Source organism: Homo sapiens, chromosome 1 (genome assembly GCF_000001405.40).
Source record: "Homo sapiens chromosome 1, GRCh38.p14 Primary Assembly".
Taxonomy (NCBI): domain Eukaryota; kingdom Metazoa; phylum Chordata; class Mammalia; order Primates; family Hominidae; genus Homo; species Homo sapiens.
In genome coordinates this window covers 69,191,598-69,215,047 of record NC_000001.11, presented here as the reverse complement: position 1 = coordinate 69,215,047, position 23,450 = coordinate 69,191,598, and the positions used below count along the sequence as shown (strand labels likewise).

The following is a 23,450-nucleotide window of genomic DNA, read 5'->3' as shown; positions in this document are numbered from 1 at the left end:
AAGAATCTCCTTCTTAATGGACTCTCTAGGATGCTAGAGTCTTTTTATCAGTTGAGAGAGAGTCAGAAACTGGTCAGCTTCCTAGCCCTTTAATTCACTCTTCAGTAGGCATGAGTCAGACTGAATAAAATACTCCTCTTCTCCAGTATGTCTAGAAAATAAGCAGTAGAGCACATAAAAGCATTGACATGTTCTAAAGAGAGGTGGCTTTTCGCTATGATTCTATCCTGTTTGGACCTACGCTTACCTTGCATTCAGCCCAGAAAGGTCAATATTTGGAAGAGAACAAGATTATTTATGAAACTGCAGGAACACACATTTCATTTGGATGTGCTAACTGTGCCTTCTGCACTTTTTTTGCAGTATCTCCATAGGAAGCCAATATAAATGCTACCTATTATTTTTGTGAATTGAGCTCTTAATTTGCATCTGTTTTCTATTGGATAACTCCAAGAAATTGAGATCACAAAGTTTAAAAAGGAGAATACCTGTTTAATGTTCCATGGCAGTCAGATTTTGTGCTTGATGCATGCTCACAGCAAAAGCCTCCCAGGCAAGAGGCAGAATGAACAATTTAACCAATCATTGACTGCTTGAGTCCATTGTGGGAACGGAGAATAAGGCCATTGCATTAATGCGGGGAAATAAAGTCTCATCTTGAGCACTGCATTGTTAAAAGAGAGACTTATTTTAATGTCTGTCAATATAAAATGGATATTTTAAAGCAATACATAAAAATTCAGAAAAAAAGTCTATTTCAAAGTTATACAGAAATCCAGCATTAAGGACTCTAAAATAGCATATCCATATTTTTCTTTGTTGGGTCTAATAAAGACTAATCACAAATTTTAAAATGCAATGCTTTGTAAAAATTTTATAGATATTTATTGGAAGTTGACTCCTTTAGTCTCAGAAACTAGACCTTACTAAATGTCTCCTAAGCGTCAGGGACTTTGTGTACTTTTTCTGTTTTAATATTTACAACAAATTACCTTGTAAGGTAGCTGCTACTTTTTCTTTTCTTTCTGACGAAGGTTTGATACTATATTTGTCTGTTGATGTATCAGTTAGCTGTCCCCTTTGAGTAACAAACAACCACAAATCTCAGTGATACGCAACAAAAAGTTGACAGCTTATGCATATGGAATTAGCTCTTCTGTTCTTAGTTGGGCTTTCTCACAGGTCTGGAGGTTTCCTGGTTGTCAGCTGGGATGACTGGAGCAATTTGACTCTGTCCTACTCCTCTCTCAAACTGTCACAGGTTGCTCCAGACACATTATTCTCATGGTAATAGCAAAGCTGTAAGAGACTAGAAATGCGCAGTTGCTTTCGCAAGTCTCTGTTAGCTCATTTCTATCAACACCTCATTGGACACAGCAATGCATATAGAAAATATACTCTGCCTCTTACAAAAAGGAGCTTCAAGTTTCCACAACAAAGGGTGAAGATTTGGGCCCAATAAAGCAACCCATGTACCACAGATGACAATCTTGTCTATTTATTTCACCAAATTATTGTCCAATTTCTGTTAATTAAACTTTCAACCTATCAGCAATACTTGCTACTTTTCTATACAATGTAGAAAACTAGAAACCAAACCAGGCACTCAACAGCCTTTATATAGATCAGTAAGTATTCCAAAACCCTCTAAACTCATTTATTATTTTTGTTCATAATGAAGATAGTGGTCATAATAGTCATCATTACTGACATTTATTATATGTCAGACACTGACTAAACACTTAGAAATCTTAGTGATTCTACTGAGTGGGTATTATCCCAGTTTTATAAATGAGGAAATAAACCAAGGCACAGAGTGATAACGAAAATGAGATGCAGAGAGATTAAGAGATCAGTCCGAATTTGTCTTGCTGGTAAGTATTGAACCTTGAATTTAAAACCAGATCCATCAGATGATAGATAACACCTGGGCTCTCAACTGTCAGTCATTCCATAAGTCCAAACCATCCAAACTGTAACAGAGAGAATTTCATGTCATTCCTCCGTGAGGAAATTACCATTGCTTCATCTTGTCTCTTGACTATCAGAAAAATATTACATTACCCTAGTGACATTTAAATTCCAACATACTCTCGGTACAGTATTATTCTCCACTCTTTCCCAACACATTTGTTCTAATGGTGCAAAGTGCTCTGCCGTGTCCTCAAGAGGCTTGCTCCTTCCCACTTCCCTATCTCAATTTAGGTCCTCTCCAACAGTGCCCCTCTTAACCCATCTGCCTTCTAGATGTCTGAACCAAAATGTCCACTCCAGTTAATTATACTTTCAGTTTGTAAAAGCATTTAAGAGCTTACAAAGTGCCTTTGCATTTCTACATACATTAGTCAATTCTGACAACAACTGTAAGGACAAATAAAAATTAAAAACCACAGGATTGATACTCCCTATTGCAAACAAAGGAAGAGACCTCCCCCCTTCTTTTGCTTGGAGCATTCACTTTAGAATACTTAAAATTATAAGTACCTTTCTCCTCTCTTTAAAATGTACATAAATTATTTTGAAAACTAGGCTTTTGGCCGGGCGCGGTGGCTCACGCCTGTAATCCCAGCACTTTGGGAGGCCGAGACGGGCGGATCACGAGGTCAGGAGATCGAGACCATCTTGGCTAACACGGTGAAACCCCGTTTCTACTAAAAATACAAAAAATTAGCCGGGCGTGTTGGCGGGCGCCTGTAGTCCCAGCTACTTGGGAGGCTGAGGCAGGAGAATGGCGTGAACCCGGGAGGCGGAGCTTGCAGTGAGCCGAGATTGCGCCACCGCACTCCAACCTGGGAGACACAGCGAGACTCCGTCTCAAAAAAAAAAAAAAAAAAAAAAAAAAAAAAAAAAAAAAGAAAACTAGGCTTTTGTCAACTTAATGACACAGGAATGTCTGTCTCAAACACCTGAAAACTATCTCTTTGAAATGTAACCATCAAGAGAAATAGAACTCCTATCTCCCAGTTTCCATGAGAGAGTAATAGAGAAATAGAACTCCTATCTCCCAGTTTCCATGAGAGAGTAATAGCCTAAATTCCCTGAGCACCTTGCTCCAAGTTGTAGAACTAGTTCCTCTCAGAAACTTACGAGAAGTTTGTTTTTGCTGTGGCCAAAGCCAATTACCTAACTCAGATGGTCACCTCAATTATTAGGTAAAGTTAGGATGAACTATGGGCGACAAATGGTACTGTCAAATCCTCTTATTTGAGAACCAGTTCTTTATCGTGTGAACATGTATATAATAGGTTGTATCTGCTTGGCTATATAAAATGGTGAGAGCTCTTCCTGTCTTTGCAGCCTCTCAGTGGATTTCATATGATGAATAATCACATTCTGGATTAATGTTTAATTAATCATAAAACTATTTTCTTTCTGTACTACCTTCGTACAGAGGATTTTCAGGTTGAGGGAAGATTTTGTTTTTTATTATTTCCCCAATATACTTTGCAAGGTAAATATTATACTCATTTTTACAGCCTAGGAAACCAAGGCTTAAAGAGATGAACTGATTTGCACATTTAGACAGCTAGTAAGTTGTAAAACTAGTGGGTCTACATGTGCATGAAATCTGGGATCATCTGTCCAGCTGATAATTGTATTCCCAATGCCACACACAAAATATGGCACATAGTAAAGGAACAGTTAGTATTTTGGGTTGAATAAATAAAACCCTGAACCAAACTCCTTCCAATATTATATTTGCTACTAACTTTGTAGCAACGCTACGTTGCTACAAATTTAGCAATGGTGAGATGCCCACAACAGCTTGGAAATTAGGGGAAAAGATTATCATCTGACAGTGAATTTGTGAGAATAAAATAAATTTGACCTTTAAATAACATGAGAGTCAAGGGGGCTGACACCCTATGCAGTTGAAAAGTCATGTATAACTTTTGACTCCTCAAAAACGTTAGCCACTAATAGCCTACTGTTGATCAGAAGCTTTATTGACAACAAAAAGTCAATCAACACATATTTTGTATGTTATATGTATTATATATTGTATTTTTATAATAAAGTAAGCTACAGTAAAAAAAAAAAATATTGAGAAAATCATAAGAAAAAAAAAATTTAAGAGATAGGTTTTTCACTCTGTTGCCCAGGCTATAGTGCAGTGGCATAATCACAGTTCACTGCAACCTCAAATTCTTGGGCTCAAGGGATCCTTCTGCCTCAGCCTCCTAAGCAGCTGGGACACAGACACACATCACCATTTCCAGCTAATTTTTTTTTTTTTTTTTTTTTTTTTTTTTTTTTTTTTTTGAGACGGAGTCTCGCTCTGTCGCCCAGGCTGGAGTGCAGTGGCGGGATCTAGGCTCACTGCAAGCTCCGCCTCCCGGGTTCACGCCATTCTCCTGCCTCAGCCTCCCAAGTAGCTGGGACTACAGAAGCCCGCCACTACACCCGGCTAATTTTTGTATTTTTAGTAGAGACGGGGTTTCACCGTTTTAGCCGGGATGGTCTCGATCTCCTGACCTCGTGATCCGCCCGCCTCGGCCTCCCAAAGTGCTGGGATTACAGGCGTGAGCCACCGCGCCCGGCCTTCCAGCTAATTTTTAAAGGATTTTTTTTTTTGAGATGCAGTCTCACTATGTTGCCCAGGCTGGTGTTGAACCCCTAGCCTCAAGAGATCCTCCTGACTCAGCCTACTTAATAGCTGAGATTACAGGTGTGAGTCACTGTGCCCAGCAAAAATATATTTAAGTGAATCATCCTAAAGGTCTTCATCCTCATCATTTTCATGTTGAGTGGGCTGAGGAAGAGAAAAAGGAGGAGTTGGTTTTGGTGTCTCAGGAGTGGCAGAGGCAGTAGAAAATCTGTGTGTAAGTGAACCTGCACTATTTGCACCTGTGTTGTTCAAGGGCTAACTTGTATAATGTAATGGTCAGAGTGGAGATATTCAGTAACTCTGAGAGAGAATACTTTATCACCTAGGATTAGATTATAAGTTGATTAAAAATATAAAAACACATAAAGAAATAGTGCAGTGATGTTTGAGGAATGAGTGTGATCAGCCATGGGATCACTGAAAAAGAAAACTGAAGCAATTTCTGGTAGGAGCCATTCCACTATTAGTTGCATTGGTAAAGGCAACTTTAACCAACAGTGTCATTGGTAAGACCATCCCTAAAGTGAAATGGGAGCATCAGGTCTTATTTTGATCCAGTTAAAGTGTAGAGTTATTAACTTAAAAAAAAAAAAAAAAAAGAAAAGAAAGACTTGATCGATGGACTTTCAGCATCTGTTGCTTAACTTTATAGTAAGTCAGTTGGTAGCTTATGGTTCATTTTGCTTTCTAATAAAAGAATATTTTCTATTCTAGTCATGCAGACATGGCAGTTTTCTGTCTGTCTCAGTGTCATAGAAACTTCAGTTAGGACAAGTTAGTCAAACTCTTAGGACTTCATCTTCTCTGGGCACTGGCATGAGCAAGTCTCTGTGTCTTCAAAAAAAGGATCAAATTAGATTGGCCTCCTCTTACACCATCGGGTTTCAATGCATTTTGTGTGTGATACACATGATAGAACAATTTCATGGACCTGAAATACTGTCCCCAGGAAGTATGCATGCGCTATAACGTTTTCCCTTGTTGCCCACTCAAGAAAGTGTGTAATAAGCAATACGACATAAGGAAATGCAAAACATTTCCACACTTTGCTAACAGGCAGGCTGTGTAACAAAAGATGGGAGGAGTTTAGGTCACCATATACATGTAGAAGATCCTGATAGAATAAAGTGGTGGTTTGCTGTAGTTCGTTCATACCAGCTCAAAAGAGCTAATTCTGTTTGTCTTTTTCCATCTCTGCATTCAGTGATATTACACAGGTAGTTTGAAATAGGCCAGGGTGAAAGTACTTCATCACAGATTTTAGTATATCCATACATATCCATGATATCTTTAAAATATTTGGCTATGAAATACTTTTGGCAGTGATGCAATGTTAAGATAAAATTGAAATCCCTGTAAGTTACAAAAAAAGAATGAATTAAAATATTATTGTATCAACTATTTCATGTTCCAGTCACATGTGACACACCACGCTACTGGTCATTCCTTTACTTGTTGATTAACTGATTCAATACATGTTCAAAAGCCTACTATGACCAGGCTTTGCTATACTAAGATACTATAGTTTAATATTGTCCCCTGATATCACTCCCAGATGTAAGCATTCTGAGTTTTACTCTTTTCAGTCTCCAAATACTCATCCATGTGTCCTCGAAAGCAGTTCCTCTCTGGTTATTAGCAGATGGTGAGATTTTCCAATTCCCTGTGTAGTACCTAACGTTGCTTCATACAGTATCCTATGTGCCATGCTAAGTTTCTTACACAATCCTCATTCTTCAAAGCTACTACAGTATTTTATTATCCCAGCTATTACAGGTGAGGAAATTTAGGCACACAGAATTTAAATAATCTGTCCTAGATCACATACTAGCAAATGCTAGTCAAAATTCAAACCTAAATAAACCTAAATAAGAAATTCATATGCATATTTAACACTATTCTTTGCTACCTCCCAACAAGACTTTTAAGGCTATGATGTGACACTTCATGTGCTCAGTAGAGAGTAACACAATGAATAAGTTCATTCATTTGTTCATTAAGCATTTACCCAGTTCTTACCATAAGCTATGGTGATCGTGTTTCTCAAAATGTATCCTATATACATTCGGGTATGCTCAGAAATGCTCCAGGCAGTTCCCTGCAGAGTCTCAGAAGAAATATGGCTCATCTTCCAAGAAATTCAAGAGGAAGGGGGTATTATTCTCATGATAAATTAAATATATATTAGAAATAGAATGTAAAATTTATATGTTTTAAGAATGCTGGAGAGTTCTCAGAGATTTTACGCTTTGGGACAGCAACCTTGGCCTTGCAGTTCATTCCCAAGCTGGGAATACTCTATGGCTGAGAGAGTTCAAAATCTTAGTTATTACATAAGAAGGCAGGCTCCAGAGTGAGAGGACTTGGGTTTACTTGATTGACCTCTTTTTGTTGTTGTCTCTCATGCACTATGCTGCAAGTATACTGGCCTCCTTTCTGTTCCTGCTCACTCTTCACCCTGGCTGGAAGTCTCTTTCCCTGCATCTTCTATGCCTAATTTGTCTTAGCAGATTCAGTTCCACGTAGCTTAAACTCTACTCTCACTTTGTTAAACATTCCTTGACTCTCCTATCTAAAGCCACACTCTATACCCATATTTACTGTATTTATCATTATATTTAATTTGTTTTTCATAGATATATCAGTAGAGGAAGTTATCTTCTTTATTGTTGCTGCTTGTTTTCATGTATTGTCTTTATCACAAACATTTAAGTATTCCAAGATCCAGAAACTTACTTGCTTATTTACATCTTGCTTCCCAATCTCTATCATAATACCTAACAAAAAGGGGTATTCAATAATCTTGTTAAATGAGTGAATAAATGATGGACATGCAAATCATTTGCAACTTAATTAAACCCTCTCCTTCAGTGTCTATATTTATTAAAAGAGGAAAGTATAGCAGCTTTTCAGTGTCAGCATGAAAATTTACAAAACATATATACAGAGTACTTAAAAGCATGCCCAACATATAGTAAACACTTAATAAATGTCAGTTGTTATTATTATAACAGAACTACACATAAAATCTATGCATAAGAGCAACAGAAAAGTGCTTTTCTATATTTCTATATTTCACAGAGACTGTATTGAAGAGGCATGCTAAATTAAAGATATATAGATTCTTTAAACCCACCTCTTAAAACTGCAACCAATCATCTGGTAGATTTATGTTGGTCTTATCACTGTGGACATAAGCTGTATTATTCTCCAAGAGCAGTGAAAACCATAAAATCCTTCCCTCATAAGAAGGCTATAAAATGTAATCAATAAAATGTAAGACGATGGCCATAATGATTAATAGCAAGGGCATGAGCAGAAAGCTGCTTCTTCTTGTTAATATGTTATAAATGCTTATAAGTTGTGGATGTGTTTATTTATGTGTTTATGTGTTTGATGCTGACCACGTACATATAAAATATGACAATATGATGCTTGCCCTTTTTAATTTGAAATCATAAAACCTTGAATTGAGGCTGCTTCATTGCTATAGAAACTAGTCTGTGTTCAATATCAAAACTTCCATTTTTAGACTCTCTTCCATGTTAACCAATAGACATTTTACCCTAAAATCCTATTTTTCAAAGTAATAAAAAAATTGAGGTTTATTTAACTGTTGTAATTTTTAAAACTACAAGATTAAGTTTTGATTCATTTTCACAGGTTGATAATCCAGCTCACTTTCAAGATCATATCACACATTTAAAAATATTGTTTGATGGTTGTAATGGATTCTGTTATAGATGCTGGGGAAATGGCAATGTATATAGCATACCCAATCCTGTTAATGATGTTTACATTCTAGTGTTGGGGAGAGAAATAAAAATGAAGCAGATGTGGTAGATTGCATTGTTTTTCCCTATTCTTCAACCTACCTTTTCTACAGAACCTTTAACAAATGTCTTTGCACTTCTTCCCTTTAGAGACAGAGGACAAATCCTTGCCCCAAGCTTGAATTTGATAACAGTTTCCTATACTTTTTTTTTTTTTTTTTTTTTGAGAGATAAGGTCTCACTTTGTCACCCAAGCTGGAGTGCAGTGGCACAATCTTGGCTCACTGCAACCTCCCGATTCAAGCAAACTCTCCTGCCTCAGCCTGCCAAGTAGCTGGGATTACAGGCACACGCCACCAAGCCTGGCAAATTTTTGTATTTTTAGTAGAGGCTGGGTTTCACCATGTTGGCCAGGTTGGTCATGAACTCCTGACCTCAAGTGATCTGCCCATTTTGGCCTCCCAAAATGCTGGGATTATGGGATTGAGCCACCGCTCCCAGCCCTATGAGCCACTTTTTGAAGTTTTAGCATCTGAACTAGGGTCCAGCTGGACTGACCACCATGCTTTCAAGGACTCTAATTTGTAAGAATGAGTTAAAGGAGATCACTTCCTAACATAGCCCACCAGTCATTGTAGCTAGTACTGATTAGGTCTGTGTACTTCCCTTTTATTCAGTAGTAACAGTGTATTGCCCATCATTATTCCAGCTCATTTCCCAATGACCTGTACCTGATATTCCTGTTGCCTTATTATTTCTTCTCTTCTTCACCTTACTTTGTTCAATCTTACTTCTACTTCACCATCTCTGTGCTCTGGAAACTACTCATTTTGTTGTGAATAAACTTTCCTTAATTTACAGATATTTTTCTACATCATAAAAGCAATACAGGCACATCTCACTTTATTGTGCTTTGTTTTATTGCAATTTGCAGGTGTTTTTTTTTTTTACAAATTGATGGTTTGTGACAACCTTGCATCAAGCAAGTCTATTGGTGCCATTTCTCCAACAGCATATGCTCACTTTGTGTCTCTGTGCTACATTTTAATAATTCTCACAATTTTTCAAACTTTTTCATTATTATTATCTGTTATGATGACCTGTGATCAGCAATCTTTGATGTTACTATTGTAATTGTTATAGGGTACCATAAACTGCACCCATATAAGGAAGTCAACTTAATCCATAAACGTCGTATGTTCTGACTGCTCCACTGACTAGATGTCCCCACCTTGTCTCTCCCTCTCATAGGGCCTTTCTATTCCATGAGACACAATAATACTGAAATTTGGCCAATTAAAATTGCCACTCCGTTGAACACATGAATGATAAGAAAGTAAAATAGCCTTTTGGCTGATGAGGATAAATTTTTAGTGGTCTGGATAGAAGATCAAACTAGCTACAACATTCCCTTAAGCCAAAGCATAATTCAGAGCAAGTCTCTACCTCTTCAAATCTATAAAGCCTGAGAGAGACAAGAAAGTTGCAGAAGAAAAGTTGGAATCTAGCAGAGATTGATTCATGAGTTTAAAGGAGAAAAGCCATCTCTATAACATAAAAGTGCAAGGTGAAGTAGCAAGTGCTAATGTAGAAGCTGCAGCAAGTTGTCCAGATGAGCTAACTGACATCATTGATGAAGGTGGCTACAATAAACAGATTTTCAATGTAGATGAAACAGCCTTCTATTGGAAGAAGATGGCATTTATGACTTTCATAGCTAGAGAGGAGAAGTCAATGACTGGCTTCAAAGCTTCAAAGGACAAGTTAACTTTCTCATTAGGGACTAATGCAGCTGGTGACTTTATGGGGAAGCCAATGCTGATTTGCCACTTCAAAAACCCTAAGACTGTTAAGAATTATGCTGCATTTACTCTGATGGTGCTTTATCAATGGAACAACAAAGACTGGATGACAGCACATCTGTTGGCAGTATAGTTTACTAAATATTTTAAGCCCACTGTTGAGACCTACTGCTCAGAATATAAAAGATTCCTTTCAAAATAGTATTACTCATTGACAATGCACTGATGCACCCAAGTGCCTGATGGATATATACAAGGAAATTAATGCTATTTTCATGCTTGCTAACACAAAATCCTTTCTGTAGCCCATAAAATCAAGGAGTACTTTTGATCAAGTTTTATTATTTAAAAAAAACAATTTTAAAGCTATAACTGCCATAGATAATGATTCCTCTGATGGATCTGGGCAAAGTAATTTGAAAACCCACTGGAAAGGGTTCACCATTCTAGATATCATTAGGAATATTTATGGTTCATGGCATGGGAGGAGATAAAAAATATCAACATTAACAGGAGTTTTGAATAAGTTGATTCCAATCATCATGAATAATTTTGAGGGGTTCGAGACTTCAGTGGAAGAAGTTACTGCAGATGTAGTAGAAATACCAAGGCAACTATCATTAGATGTGGAGCCTGAAGAAGTGACTGAATTGCTGTCATCTCATGATAAAACTTGAATGCATGAGAAATTACTTCTTATGGATGAACAAGTGGGTCCTTTAGATGGAATATACTCCTATTGAAGATGTCATAATCTTTGCTGAAACAACAATAAAAGATTTAGAATATTACATAAATTTAGTTAATAAAGCAGTAGCAGGGTTTATGAGGATTGACTCCAATCTTAAAAGAAGTTCTAATGTTAAAAAACAAAGCTATCAAATAGCATTGCATGCTCTTGAGAAATATTTCATGAAAGGAAGATTTGATTGATGCAGCAAACTTTATTACTATATTATTTCTAAAAATTTCCACAACAATCCAAATCTTCAGCAACCACCATCCTGGTCAGTCAGCAGCTATCAGCATCAGGGCAAGACCCTCAGCAAAAAGACAATGACTTACTGAAGGCTCAGATAATTGTTACCTTTTTTTTTTTGTTTTAAGCAACAATGTATTTTCAGTTTAGGTATATACATTGTTTTTAAAGACCTACTGCTATTGCACACTTAATAGACTACAGTATAGTGTAAATATAGCTTTTGCATGTACTAGGAAGCCAAAAAATCTGTGTGACTCACTTTATTACAATATTCATTTTATTGCAATGGTCTGGAAATAAACCCACTATCTCCAAGGTATGCCTGTTCATGTTCAATATAAGACATTTTTAAAAATTCAGAAAACATGCCGAATAGATTTTCCAACTGGGCAAGATCTCAAATTTGGTCTCTTGTTATTCACTTTGATTATACTTGCAAACCAGCTAATTTTTTCCTGAGCTCATATCTTTCTCCTCAGTCCTTCCTGAATGAAATCATAAGTAACCAGAGCACATTCCTAGCATGTTGTTTTCCATGCTAGCCCTCCAGAGATAAAAATTCAACAGATATAGAGCCTGACTTTGAGTTATCACAGGTGATGGCTTCACTAAATATTTTGTCTCTGACTTATATCACTACCTTTCAGATTCCAAAATCAATTTCATTGCCACCTGCCCCATGACTGCAAAGCCACTGATAAATATTTTGGGTCTTTCTATGCCAGCACCAATTTCCAGAAAGCAATTTATATGTTAGTTAAGGCAATTAACATTAGCTTCTGCAAAAGATTAGCCTTGAAATTTCAGTGGTTTATCACACTGAAAATTTAGTTCTCAATCATATCATTACAAAATCATTGCAAAAAAGGCTGGATATTTTCTGTGGTTTTAGAAAGTCCTGGTCTGTATGCAGCTGATATCAATTGTATCTGCATCTCATCAGGCTGAACCCAATCACAAGTTCCTTGAACATAATTTCAATGAGGGTGAGAAACGTAGAGGAGCATGGATGTATTTGAGATGGCGATGGTCTTTACCACATCCTGGCTTTATCCTTTTCTTCTTTTCCTTCCCTCCCTCCCTCCCTTCCTCCTTCCCTCCTTTCCTCCCTTCCTCTTTTCTTTCCTTCTTTCTTTCCTTCCTTCCTTCCTTCCTCCTTGTTTTTATTGGTGTGTGTATATCTATAAACATACACATATATATGTAATATATATTGTGTACATATATAATATATGTAATAAAGAAATAACTCCAGTATGTTATATGTATTATATAAATGTAATTATATGAATATAATTCCCTAATATATTTAAAACTATATCTGACCCTCAGTTGCCAATTGACCAGAAGTCTAGTAATCCCCATTCCAAATTGCTCAAGTATTCTAGCATTAAATGATACCAACACTTAGAAAGGATAAATACTCAAAGTGATGGATACCTCAAATACCGTGATTGACTTGATAATTTCACATGCCTTGTATTAACAAACACTCACATGTACCCCATAAATATGTAAAATAGTATGTATCAATAAAATAAAACATAGCAAATACAAAAAAATAGAGAATTATAGCATGAGACTCAAACAAAACAAAAATACCAGATTGAAGATCCAGAATCACCAATCTTTCCTTGAAACAAGATTATTAAAAATGTAAACTAATGTCAAGTTATGAAAATCTGAAAGGCTGAACAGATTCATCTCTATACTTCAAGTGGAATAGACCTTCAGAAAAAAATAACTGATGGAAGAGAACTCTAAATTCAGTATAGGTTAAGATGACAGCCTACATTTTAAGGAGATCATCAATGAAAGATAAGTCAGTTATTACAAAATTCTAAGTGGCTGAAATCATAAACAAAATATTTCAGATGACTAAGAGAAGGCACTGATATTAAAGTAGGATGCGTGTGGTGTGATACTGGGATTTTTTCCTTCCATCTCTGGTCTACATTCTTGACCTCTGTAAATGGGCAAATTATGTAAGATTCAGGAAGACAGATAAAATTCTTGTTACGTACAAACACCAAATGATTGTGGACATGATTGCCTTGAGTACTCTGTGAAAGATTCTGAGGATCCCTTGGAGCTTAGTAGAAAAGAATAAGGACATGGAATTAGAATCTGGGCGGTATTGGAGATGTGGTGGGGAAAGGAGGAGTAGAGTGGAGGCTCCATGCATTTTTAAAGCTCTTTCAGCCCATATTATTCTGTAATTCCACACTTGGGCATTTTGTTCTCATGAGATTGCTAGTGTCTGGAGTCCTTTGTTCTATTCTGGAAGTTCAGAGATGTATTATAACTCCTATAAGCCTGAGCATTGGCCCTGAAACTCTAAACCATAGCCTGATCCAACCCTAAGCTGGAATCCACTTCAGCCTGCTACTTAGATCCCACCTCTCAAATCCTGGAGTTCCCTGAGCTCCATTTTTAATTCTTACTTTGATGATCTATTCCCTTTCTTTGCCCTTCTTTCCTTCCTGACTACCTGACTTTCTTCCTTTACTAATCAACTGTTTTCCAGTTCTTGCTATCTGCCAGGCCCTGTGTAAAATGTTGAATGTAAAATCATAACCAATGTCTCCCTCCTCAGTGGTCTTAAAATTGAGTGGAGACTGTGTTCTGGCTTTTCCCTAGCTGTCTTTGGACCTTAAGCAGGTCAATGCTATACTCTTAGCTATACTTTCTTTATTCTTTCATGTATTCATTCAGCAGATATTGTCTTAGCTTGGTCCCCCTAGAAAATAGGATTGAGGCAAAAGCTATGAGTTAACACGCTACTGGGGTATGAAATCACATAAAAACTGAAGAGAGGAAGAAGGGAAGTGAGACAGAGACGAAGGGAATAAAAAAGTGTGCATTACTGAACTGACCACAGCTTCCCACTAAAGGCAGATGAAGGCTCACTCATGGAGAGCATCTTCAGAGTGACTGTGAAGTATCACATCTTTGAACAGTTTGTCCAGGGGAGAAAAGAAACAAATGTATCCACTGGCTGTCTCCTACCTTGTTCAAAGTCCATCCCAAGTGACATTGATGATTTTTTCATACTTCTAGGTCCTTTTAAGGTTGCCAAGGGGCAATTCAAGGGCTCCGTGGATCTGGTGCAACCATGTACAGTTGCAGTAGACAGTCTTCCAGATCGTTGGGTGCTCTTTCAAACCAGCAGGCAGCTTCCCCAGTAGGTTGGCTGATGACCAAGCAAACTGTGTGAGCCACTGGGAGTGCTGCTTTGAGAGGAAAGCAGGCTACAGCCTTGAGAGAAGGAGAATTAAGCAAGGAGGTTCTAAAGTGACCCATAATCAGAATCTGATTTAGCTACCAAGATAATATTGCTTCAGAGGTAAACTTTCTCTGTGCTTGTGGAGTTCACAGTTCAGTAATAAAAATGAAAAAATAAACTTGTGAATTAAAATGCTAGTCTGGAGGCATAAAGTTCTATGTCTTGATGAGACTTGGGAAGACATAAAGCAGGAGACATTTGTGGTATGTTTGGTAGAATTAGCAGGCATTTTTATTTGTAAAAGATAAACTATAATTGAATCAACATCATTCAAAACGTGTTTCACTAAATTAGGGTCTCATGGTGTGGCAGACATTGCTGACTGGTTCATTAGTTTGTACTTCAAAATCCCTAACATAGACCTATAGGACAAAGGATGAAAAGGTAAAATGTATACTTCCCAGACTCCCTCTAGGAAGTGATCTAAGTTTTGCCATACCTATGCACCTGTGAGAAAAGTGGACATGATCAATGTGGGGAAACCATGTCTTCCAGAAATATGACAGTGGAGGTGCTACACACCACCTCCTAGAAACACAGATTCAGAGTGCCAGGTAGTAGTGGTAGCAGTGTGGCCAACAGTAGCATTTAGTGGTATATTTGGTATCTCCTGGATGCATTATTCTAGGCTCTGCACTATACGCTCTTGGCTTCTGGCCTTCCTGGAAATTTTGTAACCCATCTAACAAATATCTTTCTGTTTATTCTATATAAGTGAATTCTGTGGTCTGTAACCCAGAACGCTGAAGAATGCCTAAGAAATGCTAAAAGTCATTTTGTGATATTATATGATCATATACATCGAGAGAGAGTTAAAAATGTGTTTTTGGAAGTATTTCTTAGAGCTGATAAAGTGGTGGTTTTTAAGCTGAATCATTTTTCCAGGTACCACCCATTTTTGAGACTTTGATTAGAATTAGACATATAGGAATATTTAAGATAGTTTCAAATAGCCATTGATTTAAGCAATAAATATTTCCAGCCAGGTTAGTAAGAAGAAGCAATGATATAATTTATTTTTCAACAGCTCCATCATAAAGCGTCAGCAGTTAGTATTGACTGTTAGTGTAGGTTCAATATCTTGCAAATTTTTAATAACTTAAAATTTTATTGGCATTTATTGATTGTTTACATACACCATTATTTCATAAGATGTAAATTCATGGTATATTATTTTTTCTTAATCTTTTCAAAATCCATAAAATGTCAATCTGGAATAATTATAGGTAGCGCAAATAACGAATGACTTTAAGTGACAGAAGTTTTATAGCTTCTGGAATTGAGTCGTGTCATAAGCTTACCCTGCTGAAGTGTTTTCTGCTCCCAGAGAATCTGCTTTGAGCCTGAAGCTGATCTTCCCTTCCTGTCTAAGAGGGAGTTAATGGAAGAGCTAACTAGTCTAATTACTTGCAAACATAATTGTCCATAATTTGAAGAAAGCAAATATCGTACTCTCTGAAGCTTATAGGAAAGAGAGGAAAGGTTCTTATTAACCAGTAGAACTGAAGGAGGTGAGCTTCCTTTGTCACCTCTCTTTCAAGGAAGCTTCAAACACTTCACACTGAGGGAAAACAAAGGCGTTAGAAAAATAATTGCAGCATGACGCTAGTAACTACTGTGAGTGGTGACCAGCTAAGAGAATTGGTCAAGCTCAGGAAGTTCAACAAGGCATACATGTTTGGATCAGCTTATAAACTAGCTGCATTACAATCCAAGTCACTATTGAGGTCCACCAGGCTGTATGCTCTCAGTGTCTGTGAACTATCTCTGGAATCTTATAATAAATCCTCCTGCTTTGCTTAAAGTAGTTCAAGTGGGTTTATTTCACTTGAAACCAAAGAGTGCTAACTAATAAAAGACTAGAGCAACCAATTCAGATATAACCTTTGAAGAAAGATATATTCTCTTTTTTAAGCATTAAGTTTCCAGCTTTGAGAGAGAGAATAAATGGTGAAAGGGTACATTTGTCCTAAGATAAAAAATTCAGCTTCTCCAGAAAATCTGTTTGATTATCTTAGGGCTACATTGCCAATGGGTGCTCTGAGCAGCTAGAGACAAAAGTCTTTTAAGTAGCACAGGGTGCATCTCCACAATGGTCAATTAGACTATGGAAAATAACGTCTCAGAATTAATTAAACTTACTCTAAATACCTTATGTGCATTTCTGCAAAATGCAGAACAAAAGAATTCAGCAATTTGTCTCTAACAGCCAGTTGCTATTAATTAATTAATTCAGTTTAATTATGTTAAGTGTGACTGTGTATGCAGACTGCTGTGTGATCTGGTTAAGGAACCAAAACCAGACAGGTAACTTACTTTGGGAAATTTATAATTTTTGAGTCTACATTTCTATCCTAAAATAAATCGATGCATACTTTCTTACTTCATTCTCTTACCTTCCTTGAATAAATCATATTCTGGAGTCATAACCCTTGAATTTCGGGCAATACTACCCAGGCAAGTAAAAAGCACGTGTGTGGTTCAGTGATCCAGGGAAAGCCAATTTCTTTTCTAAATTTGTTTTAAGAGACATCTTAAAACAAAAGCAAAGCAATACATGACTGTAAAGGAAACAGAAACAGACTCTTGAAGCTATTTTTATCTCTAAGAGCTATGACTTCATAACTCCAAGAGATAAATGTAAAAAAGAAGAAAGAAAACCTTCATGTGAATGAAGAAGAAAGGTGTCTACTGAAAATTAATATTTATAAAATATTTTTCCTATTGCTGCCTCTAAAATTTTGTCTGCGCTAAAAATCTTTTTTGAATGAGAAATTCAAATTGGTAGGTTTTCTTTATATATACTAGCGCTTTTTTTGTTTTGTTTTGTTTTCTCTTTTGATTCTTTGCAAATGGGTCTAATCCAGTTCACTTCTCTAATAGGTAGATTAAATGATAATAAAATGATAGGTGCTCCAGCACTGTAACTAGTGGGTAGTTTTTATAAGTAGAGCTTTGGGGTTGGCCTGATTTCACTTCCCAAAGCTGTGCAATATTTGGCAACTAACTGGTTTCTTACTGATAGTTTAAGAATACTATTAATAATTCATGTAAAAATGCAAGGAGTTTTAACCATTTTTAATTATGTTAGTTCATTTACTCACTTAGCAAGTATTTGCTGATTGAGCCCGGTGTGCCAGGTAATATTTTAGGCTTTAAGGATGCTTCAGTGAGCAAGACAAGATCTGTTCCCTCAGAAAGCTTACTTACTACTGAGAGAGACAAATGTTAAATAGGAATAAATAAATATATGCTGTAATAATTGGAAGTGACCTTTTACATCAAGAAAGACATTCATTTAAGTAGAGCTCCTTACCTAAATGCCATATAATATTAACAGGATATGCTGACCAGGAGGAATTACCAGGCTTAGATGATGGACTAGAAGGATCCTGATAGTCTTCACTCATGATCTTGCCCTATTAACCAAATAGATGCAGAAAAAAACAAAAAACAAACAACAACAAAAAAACAACCTTGAAGAGAACAGTGGAAGTCAAACTACTTGATGTTTCAAATGTTGTCGATTTTGAAACCTTTGTCAAAACAAGCACTCTGAGCAGCAGATATATTAGACCTATAAAGGGGAAATTGTTAATTTTTGATTTAACAATTTACTTCAAAATTTTTTGAAGTAGGTTGACAAAAAAATACAATTCGCCAATATTTCTAAAACTGAACATTCTTTTTTCCTCTAAGGAAATTATCAAAATAGTATTGACTATGCAATGAAAATTATTATGAATATTTAATTAATAATAATAAAAGTAATTGTAATAAAAATAGCTAACATGTATTGAAAGCTTACTATGTGTCACATTGTTGCTAAGCACAATCTCAATGAATTCTTAAAACACTATGAGTTATTCATCATCACCATCTTCAATTTAAAGATGAGCAAATCAAGACTTACAGAAGTTCAATATCCTCCCCAGGACACATAGCTGGTAGAGGTGACTGTCAAATGCTGTTCGGTTTATTTTAGAACTCTAAGGTGCTTTGCCAAAGCCTATTGATCTTACTGGAGGTTTTTCTTCATTACTTATTCTAGAAAATATCATTTATTTAGAATCTCAGTGTATTAAGCATCTTAAATATAGTGCCTTTCTTAATTATGTAAAAAATATGATGATATATATTAGTCAAGCTATTGGTAGATAACAAGACTTTCCAAAAGTCAGTGGCAAACAACAATAGGAACTTATTTTCTTGCCCATAGGTTTGCCAGTCAGGCTGGGAGTCAGCTGATATACTTTGGGTTCAATTCGGGTTGGCTCCAAGGCATGAGTCATCTAGATATGCTTTATATGGCTTTCCTTTTCTTTGTACAATTTGGCTACCTTGAGTATGTGTTTCTCACGATTGTGACAGAAACACAGGAGAGCTAGCCTTTGTTCTCATCGGCCTAATAAAATTCCTTTGGCCAAAGTAAGTTACATGGCCAAGTCTAATATCACTGGAGTGAGGAAATATATCAGCCCTTAGTGAGAGCAATTGTAAAGGCAAAGGACATGGATACAAGAAAGATAAAGATTTGGTGACAATGATGCAATCTATCACAGATAGCTATAGTATTACAGATGAGGAATTAGAGACTGATGTGACTTATGAAACTTGATTTTAGTAAGTTTGCTCTTAACTGAAGCAGCAAGCTTTTTCTGCCTATTCTCAAAGAAGAAGAGCTTTCCAGTATTAAAAGATGTTAAGAAACAAAAGAAGGAACTTGAAAGAGCTTATGGTATATGCCTCTCAATTTTATCTGTGTCCTTTGCAATAGCTAATCTTGTTCCTATCCACAGTACATGGTCAATCAATGTATGATGATCATGAAATAGCCATCAAGGGCTCCAATTAAACCAGAAGCAAATGCACAGAAATGATAGTGTTGAACGGGACGTTTTTGTGGGCTTCTTTTCTGTACTAATGGAGTTTATATAAAAGAAATTTTAATAAGTAATGCAGAAGTGGAGTTGGCCTTTGAGCAAAAAAATCCATAGTTTTAAGGGATTTAAGGATAGATAATTAAAATGAAATGCTAGCATTCCTTAAGGAGAATTGCTATAATAAGCAACTTAAAGCAAACCTCTTATTCTTTGTTTTTACTAAGAAAATACGAAACAAACAAACCAAAGACAAGATAAATCATGATTATAGGCTTGAGATTCTTAAATGAGGGCAAACTTGGCTCTTGATTTCTCACTCTTCTAGAGATGTAAATCTGAGGCTTATTCCAGATGGTGTTAGCTTGATGTGCTCTCAATTCAGTAAGTTTCATTACAATTGATGCCAAGAAAACCAATGTTGCAGGGCAGATACAATTATTCTACAACTAAGAGAGATCTTTTGGGTTCATTGCACTTCAAACACATAGAAATTAGTGACAATATATAGGGATGTTAACTCTTTAAAAGTGGGTGAGAAGCCAGAAGAGATGCCATCTGAAGAACGAGTCAATAACCACAACAATAAAAGTTAATGTTTATCAAGTGCTTACTATGAAACAGTTAATACTGCACTATTCGAATCTGCAGGATTACATTTATTTCTAGTAATAACCATTTATTCTTTCATACATTAAATAAATACATGGTGATCATCTATTCTTTCCCAGAATCTGTGCTAATTGCTGACAATAAAATGGTGAACAAATGCAAGCATAATCCTTGTCCTTATAGAGTTTATGGTCTAACCAAATAATCACAGAAATAATTATCAGACTGTAACTGTATTATGTGCTATACAAATGAAGTTAATGGGTAATGATATCTGGCTGAAGAGGTCAGGAAATGCTTCCCTGAGAAAGTAATTTGAATTGAGATCTGAAGTACAAGGATAATTTAATTATGGGGAAGAAGAACATTTGGTCAGGGGAAAGCTACATGTGTGCAAAGACTCAACGGAGAAGCTGAGGAGCTGTGACCTCTAGAGTGGTGTTTGAAGAAAGGCAGAGAAGGATGAGGCTGGAGAAGAGATGGGGGGTCAGACCATGCAAGTCCTGGTTGGTAGATAAAAAGGTTTTTGTCTTTATTCTAAAAATAATGAGAAGCCATTGAAGAGCTAGAGAAGAAAGAGTCAGTGCAAGTGATATTATCATATTTTCAAACCGTGTAGCTGCTAGGTAAAGATGGGATTGGGTAGAAAATGGGAAGGCTGAATGCAGATAGACTACTTCAGTAACTACTGTAGTTATCTAAGCAATAAATGAGTAAAGCTTGGACTAGTGGGATGGCGGCAGAGGAAAAGATAAACACCATAATTCAAAATTCTAAGATGAATTTAAAACATGTTTAACACCTCTGAAATCAGGATGCTTCTTAAGTCTCTGTGCTGTATTTAGCCTTTCAATCGTCATTGCCTATGCAAGTGCATGAAAATTTGCAAAATGCAAAAGATAATAGAACAACACTCTTAGAAAAGGTACACAGCCAAAATTCTTGATGGTACAGATGACAATATTTTGTAAAAAGCCTTGGTCATTTAGGACCCTTGAGTCAAGCAATGTATCAATTGGTGGCATTTCTTCTTTCTTAGAGGTACTGAAAATAATGGGGCATGTTACACTTGATTGGATTTTAGATTCAATGAAATGTGACAAAGACATTGGGAAGTTAAATTGTCAAAGAATATAGTTAGGTATTGACTATGGAAAATAAAAGAGAATGACTTTTAAGTTCCTGGCTTGTTCAAATGGTTGAATGGGGAAAAAATGGTTGAATGGGAATGCAAATCATAAAAAAAAAAAAAAGAGAGAGAGAGAAATATATAGGAGAGTGTAAGGATTAAAAACATGAGCTTAATGTTAGCTATTTTGAACTTGAGAAAACTTTGAGACATAAAAGAGAATACTCTATGAAATAATTGAATATAATCATCTAGAATTCAGATGAGAAATATAAAATTAAGAATCAAGAGATATATACCATACCAATATTGGAACAATATTGTTCCAATATTGGTAAACAAATCGAGATAAGAGTAATTAAGAAAATTGTCAAAGATCATACAATTTATAGGGGGCAAGAGATAAATACCATACCAATGGTAAACAAATCAAGATAAGAGTAATTAAGAAAATTGTCAAGGATCATACAATTTATAGGGGGCAGAGATTGTATAGGTCTGATTGCAGTGCCTGATGCGCTAAGACACACACAAAATAAAACTTGGAGAAATACTTCATCAAACAGTTAACCAACCACTGATTAAGAAATGTATGGAACTGGGCTGGGCGCGGTGGCTAACGCCCATAATCCTAGCACTTTGGGAGGTAGAGGCAGGCAGATCACGAGGTCGGGGTTCAAGACCAGCCTGACCAAGATAGTGAAACCCCATCTCTACTAAAAATACAAAATTAGCTGAGCTTGGTGGCAGGCACTGCTAGTCCCAGCTACTTGGGAGACTGAGGCAGGAGAATCACTTGAACCTGGGTGGCAGAGGTTGCATTTGAGCATCTTATGTCAGGTACAGAGTAGATCGTGGCTTGCTAACCCTGTAAAAATGATTGGAAAATATAATTAGGGTGTATAGATCTGACAATCATCAAGTAAAATTGTCCTTGTTCATCAGTTTAATTATGAAAGATTGTGCCACTGCACTCCAGCCCGAGCAACAGAGCAAGACTCCGCCTCAAAAAAAAAAAAGGAATGTATGAAACTCTGTTATATACCTTATTCGATCTCACAAGTAATTACACAAATGTAAACTAAGATAAGAATGAGATACTATGTTGTCTGTCACATTATTACCAATAAAACAAGAACAAGAGCAATAAAAACAACAGCAACAAAACCCAATGAGATTACTCATAGTTGCTGGGTGTGATTAGATTCTTCCATTGTCATGTCAGATATTACGGATAAGTTGGGAGAAGCAAATGAACAACATATATCTAAACAATTTAAAGTGCCTATATTTTATCTCGAGATTTCTCTTAAGGATTCAGTCAAAGAAAACAATCTGAATGACATAAAGAATTTTACACATACATGGCCGGGCGCAGTGGCTCACACCTGTAATCCCAGCACTTTGAAAGGCCGAGGCGGGCGGATCACGAGGTCAGGAGATCATCCTGGCTAGAGTGGCGTGAACCCAGGAGATGGAGCTTGCAGTGAGCCGAGTTTGTGCCACTGCACTCCAGCCTGGGCGACAGAGCAAGACTTCATCTCAAAAAAAAAAAAAAAAAAGAATTTTACACATGCATGTAAACACACATTCATCACAAATTTATTTAAAATACTGAAAGGTTGGAAAACTTCTATATAACAAAAAATAATTGATTAAATTACTGCACATTAATGTAGTGAACATTATACAATTGTTAATGTCTTTAAAATATTATAAATGTGGAAATACATTAAAAATTAACACAGAAAAAGTAATTATAGTATATATTAAATAGGGTTACAAAGAAGGCTTTGACAACATAAACATGAAATAAAGAAAATTTCATAAATTATCAGAACCTGTCAATATTGAATATAAATTTATGATGTCAAAGAAAATTAACATTTAAGAACAATAGAAATAAAAGAACTATGTGTGACAGAAAGGAACATATGGAACACGTATATGTAAATGATTATTCATTGTAAATAGATAGGTGGTAATTTGTCATTTCCGAGCCTCAAATTCCATTGTACATTTTTTCTTTTCTTTTTCTGCTTTTTCTTCATCTTTTCCTTTTTTCTTCTTTTCTTTTTCTAATTTTTTTTTCTTCTTTTGTTTTCAAAGGGGCGTAGGCAGTAATGAGAGGACACTTACTTTGTTTTACTATAGTTTTTGTTTTTGTTTTTTGTAACTACTACTCTTGGCTCATGTTCAGGATCCTAGGACCAATTTCTAATTCAGACATCCTCAACTGCCTCTCATGTCAAGAGCCAATTGAGATGATATCAATCAATGCCCAGCATAAGCACTGTCAACCCAGCAAGCTTCAGCCTGTCTGAACAGATGGGGCTTGAATCTCTGGACTCATTTACCTTCCAAGCCCTTCCTCTTC

The 23,450-nt window shown here is 36.3% G+C and overlaps 1 long non-coding RNA gene across 1 annotated transcript in view; it reads right to left on the bottom strand.

Moving 5' to 3' along the window:
* Nucleotides 1–17,989, bottom strand: part of LOC105378787 (uncharacterized) — a 32,634-nt gene extending 14,645 nt beyond the window's left edge. The window contains exons 1-5 of the long non-coding RNA XR_947486.2: nucleotides 17,769–17,989; nucleotides 15,754–15,819; nucleotides 14,176–14,424; nucleotides 6,629–6,737; nucleotides 489–664 (exon numbers count right to left, since the gene is read on the bottom strand). This is a non-coding gene — a long non-coding RNA (uncharacterized LOC105378787). The remainder of the gene's footprint in view (nucleotides 1–488; nucleotides 665–6,628; nucleotides 6,738–14,175; nucleotides 14,425–15,753; nucleotides 15,820–17,768) is intronic.
* Nucleotides 17,990–23,450: the final 5,461 nt, after the last annotated feature.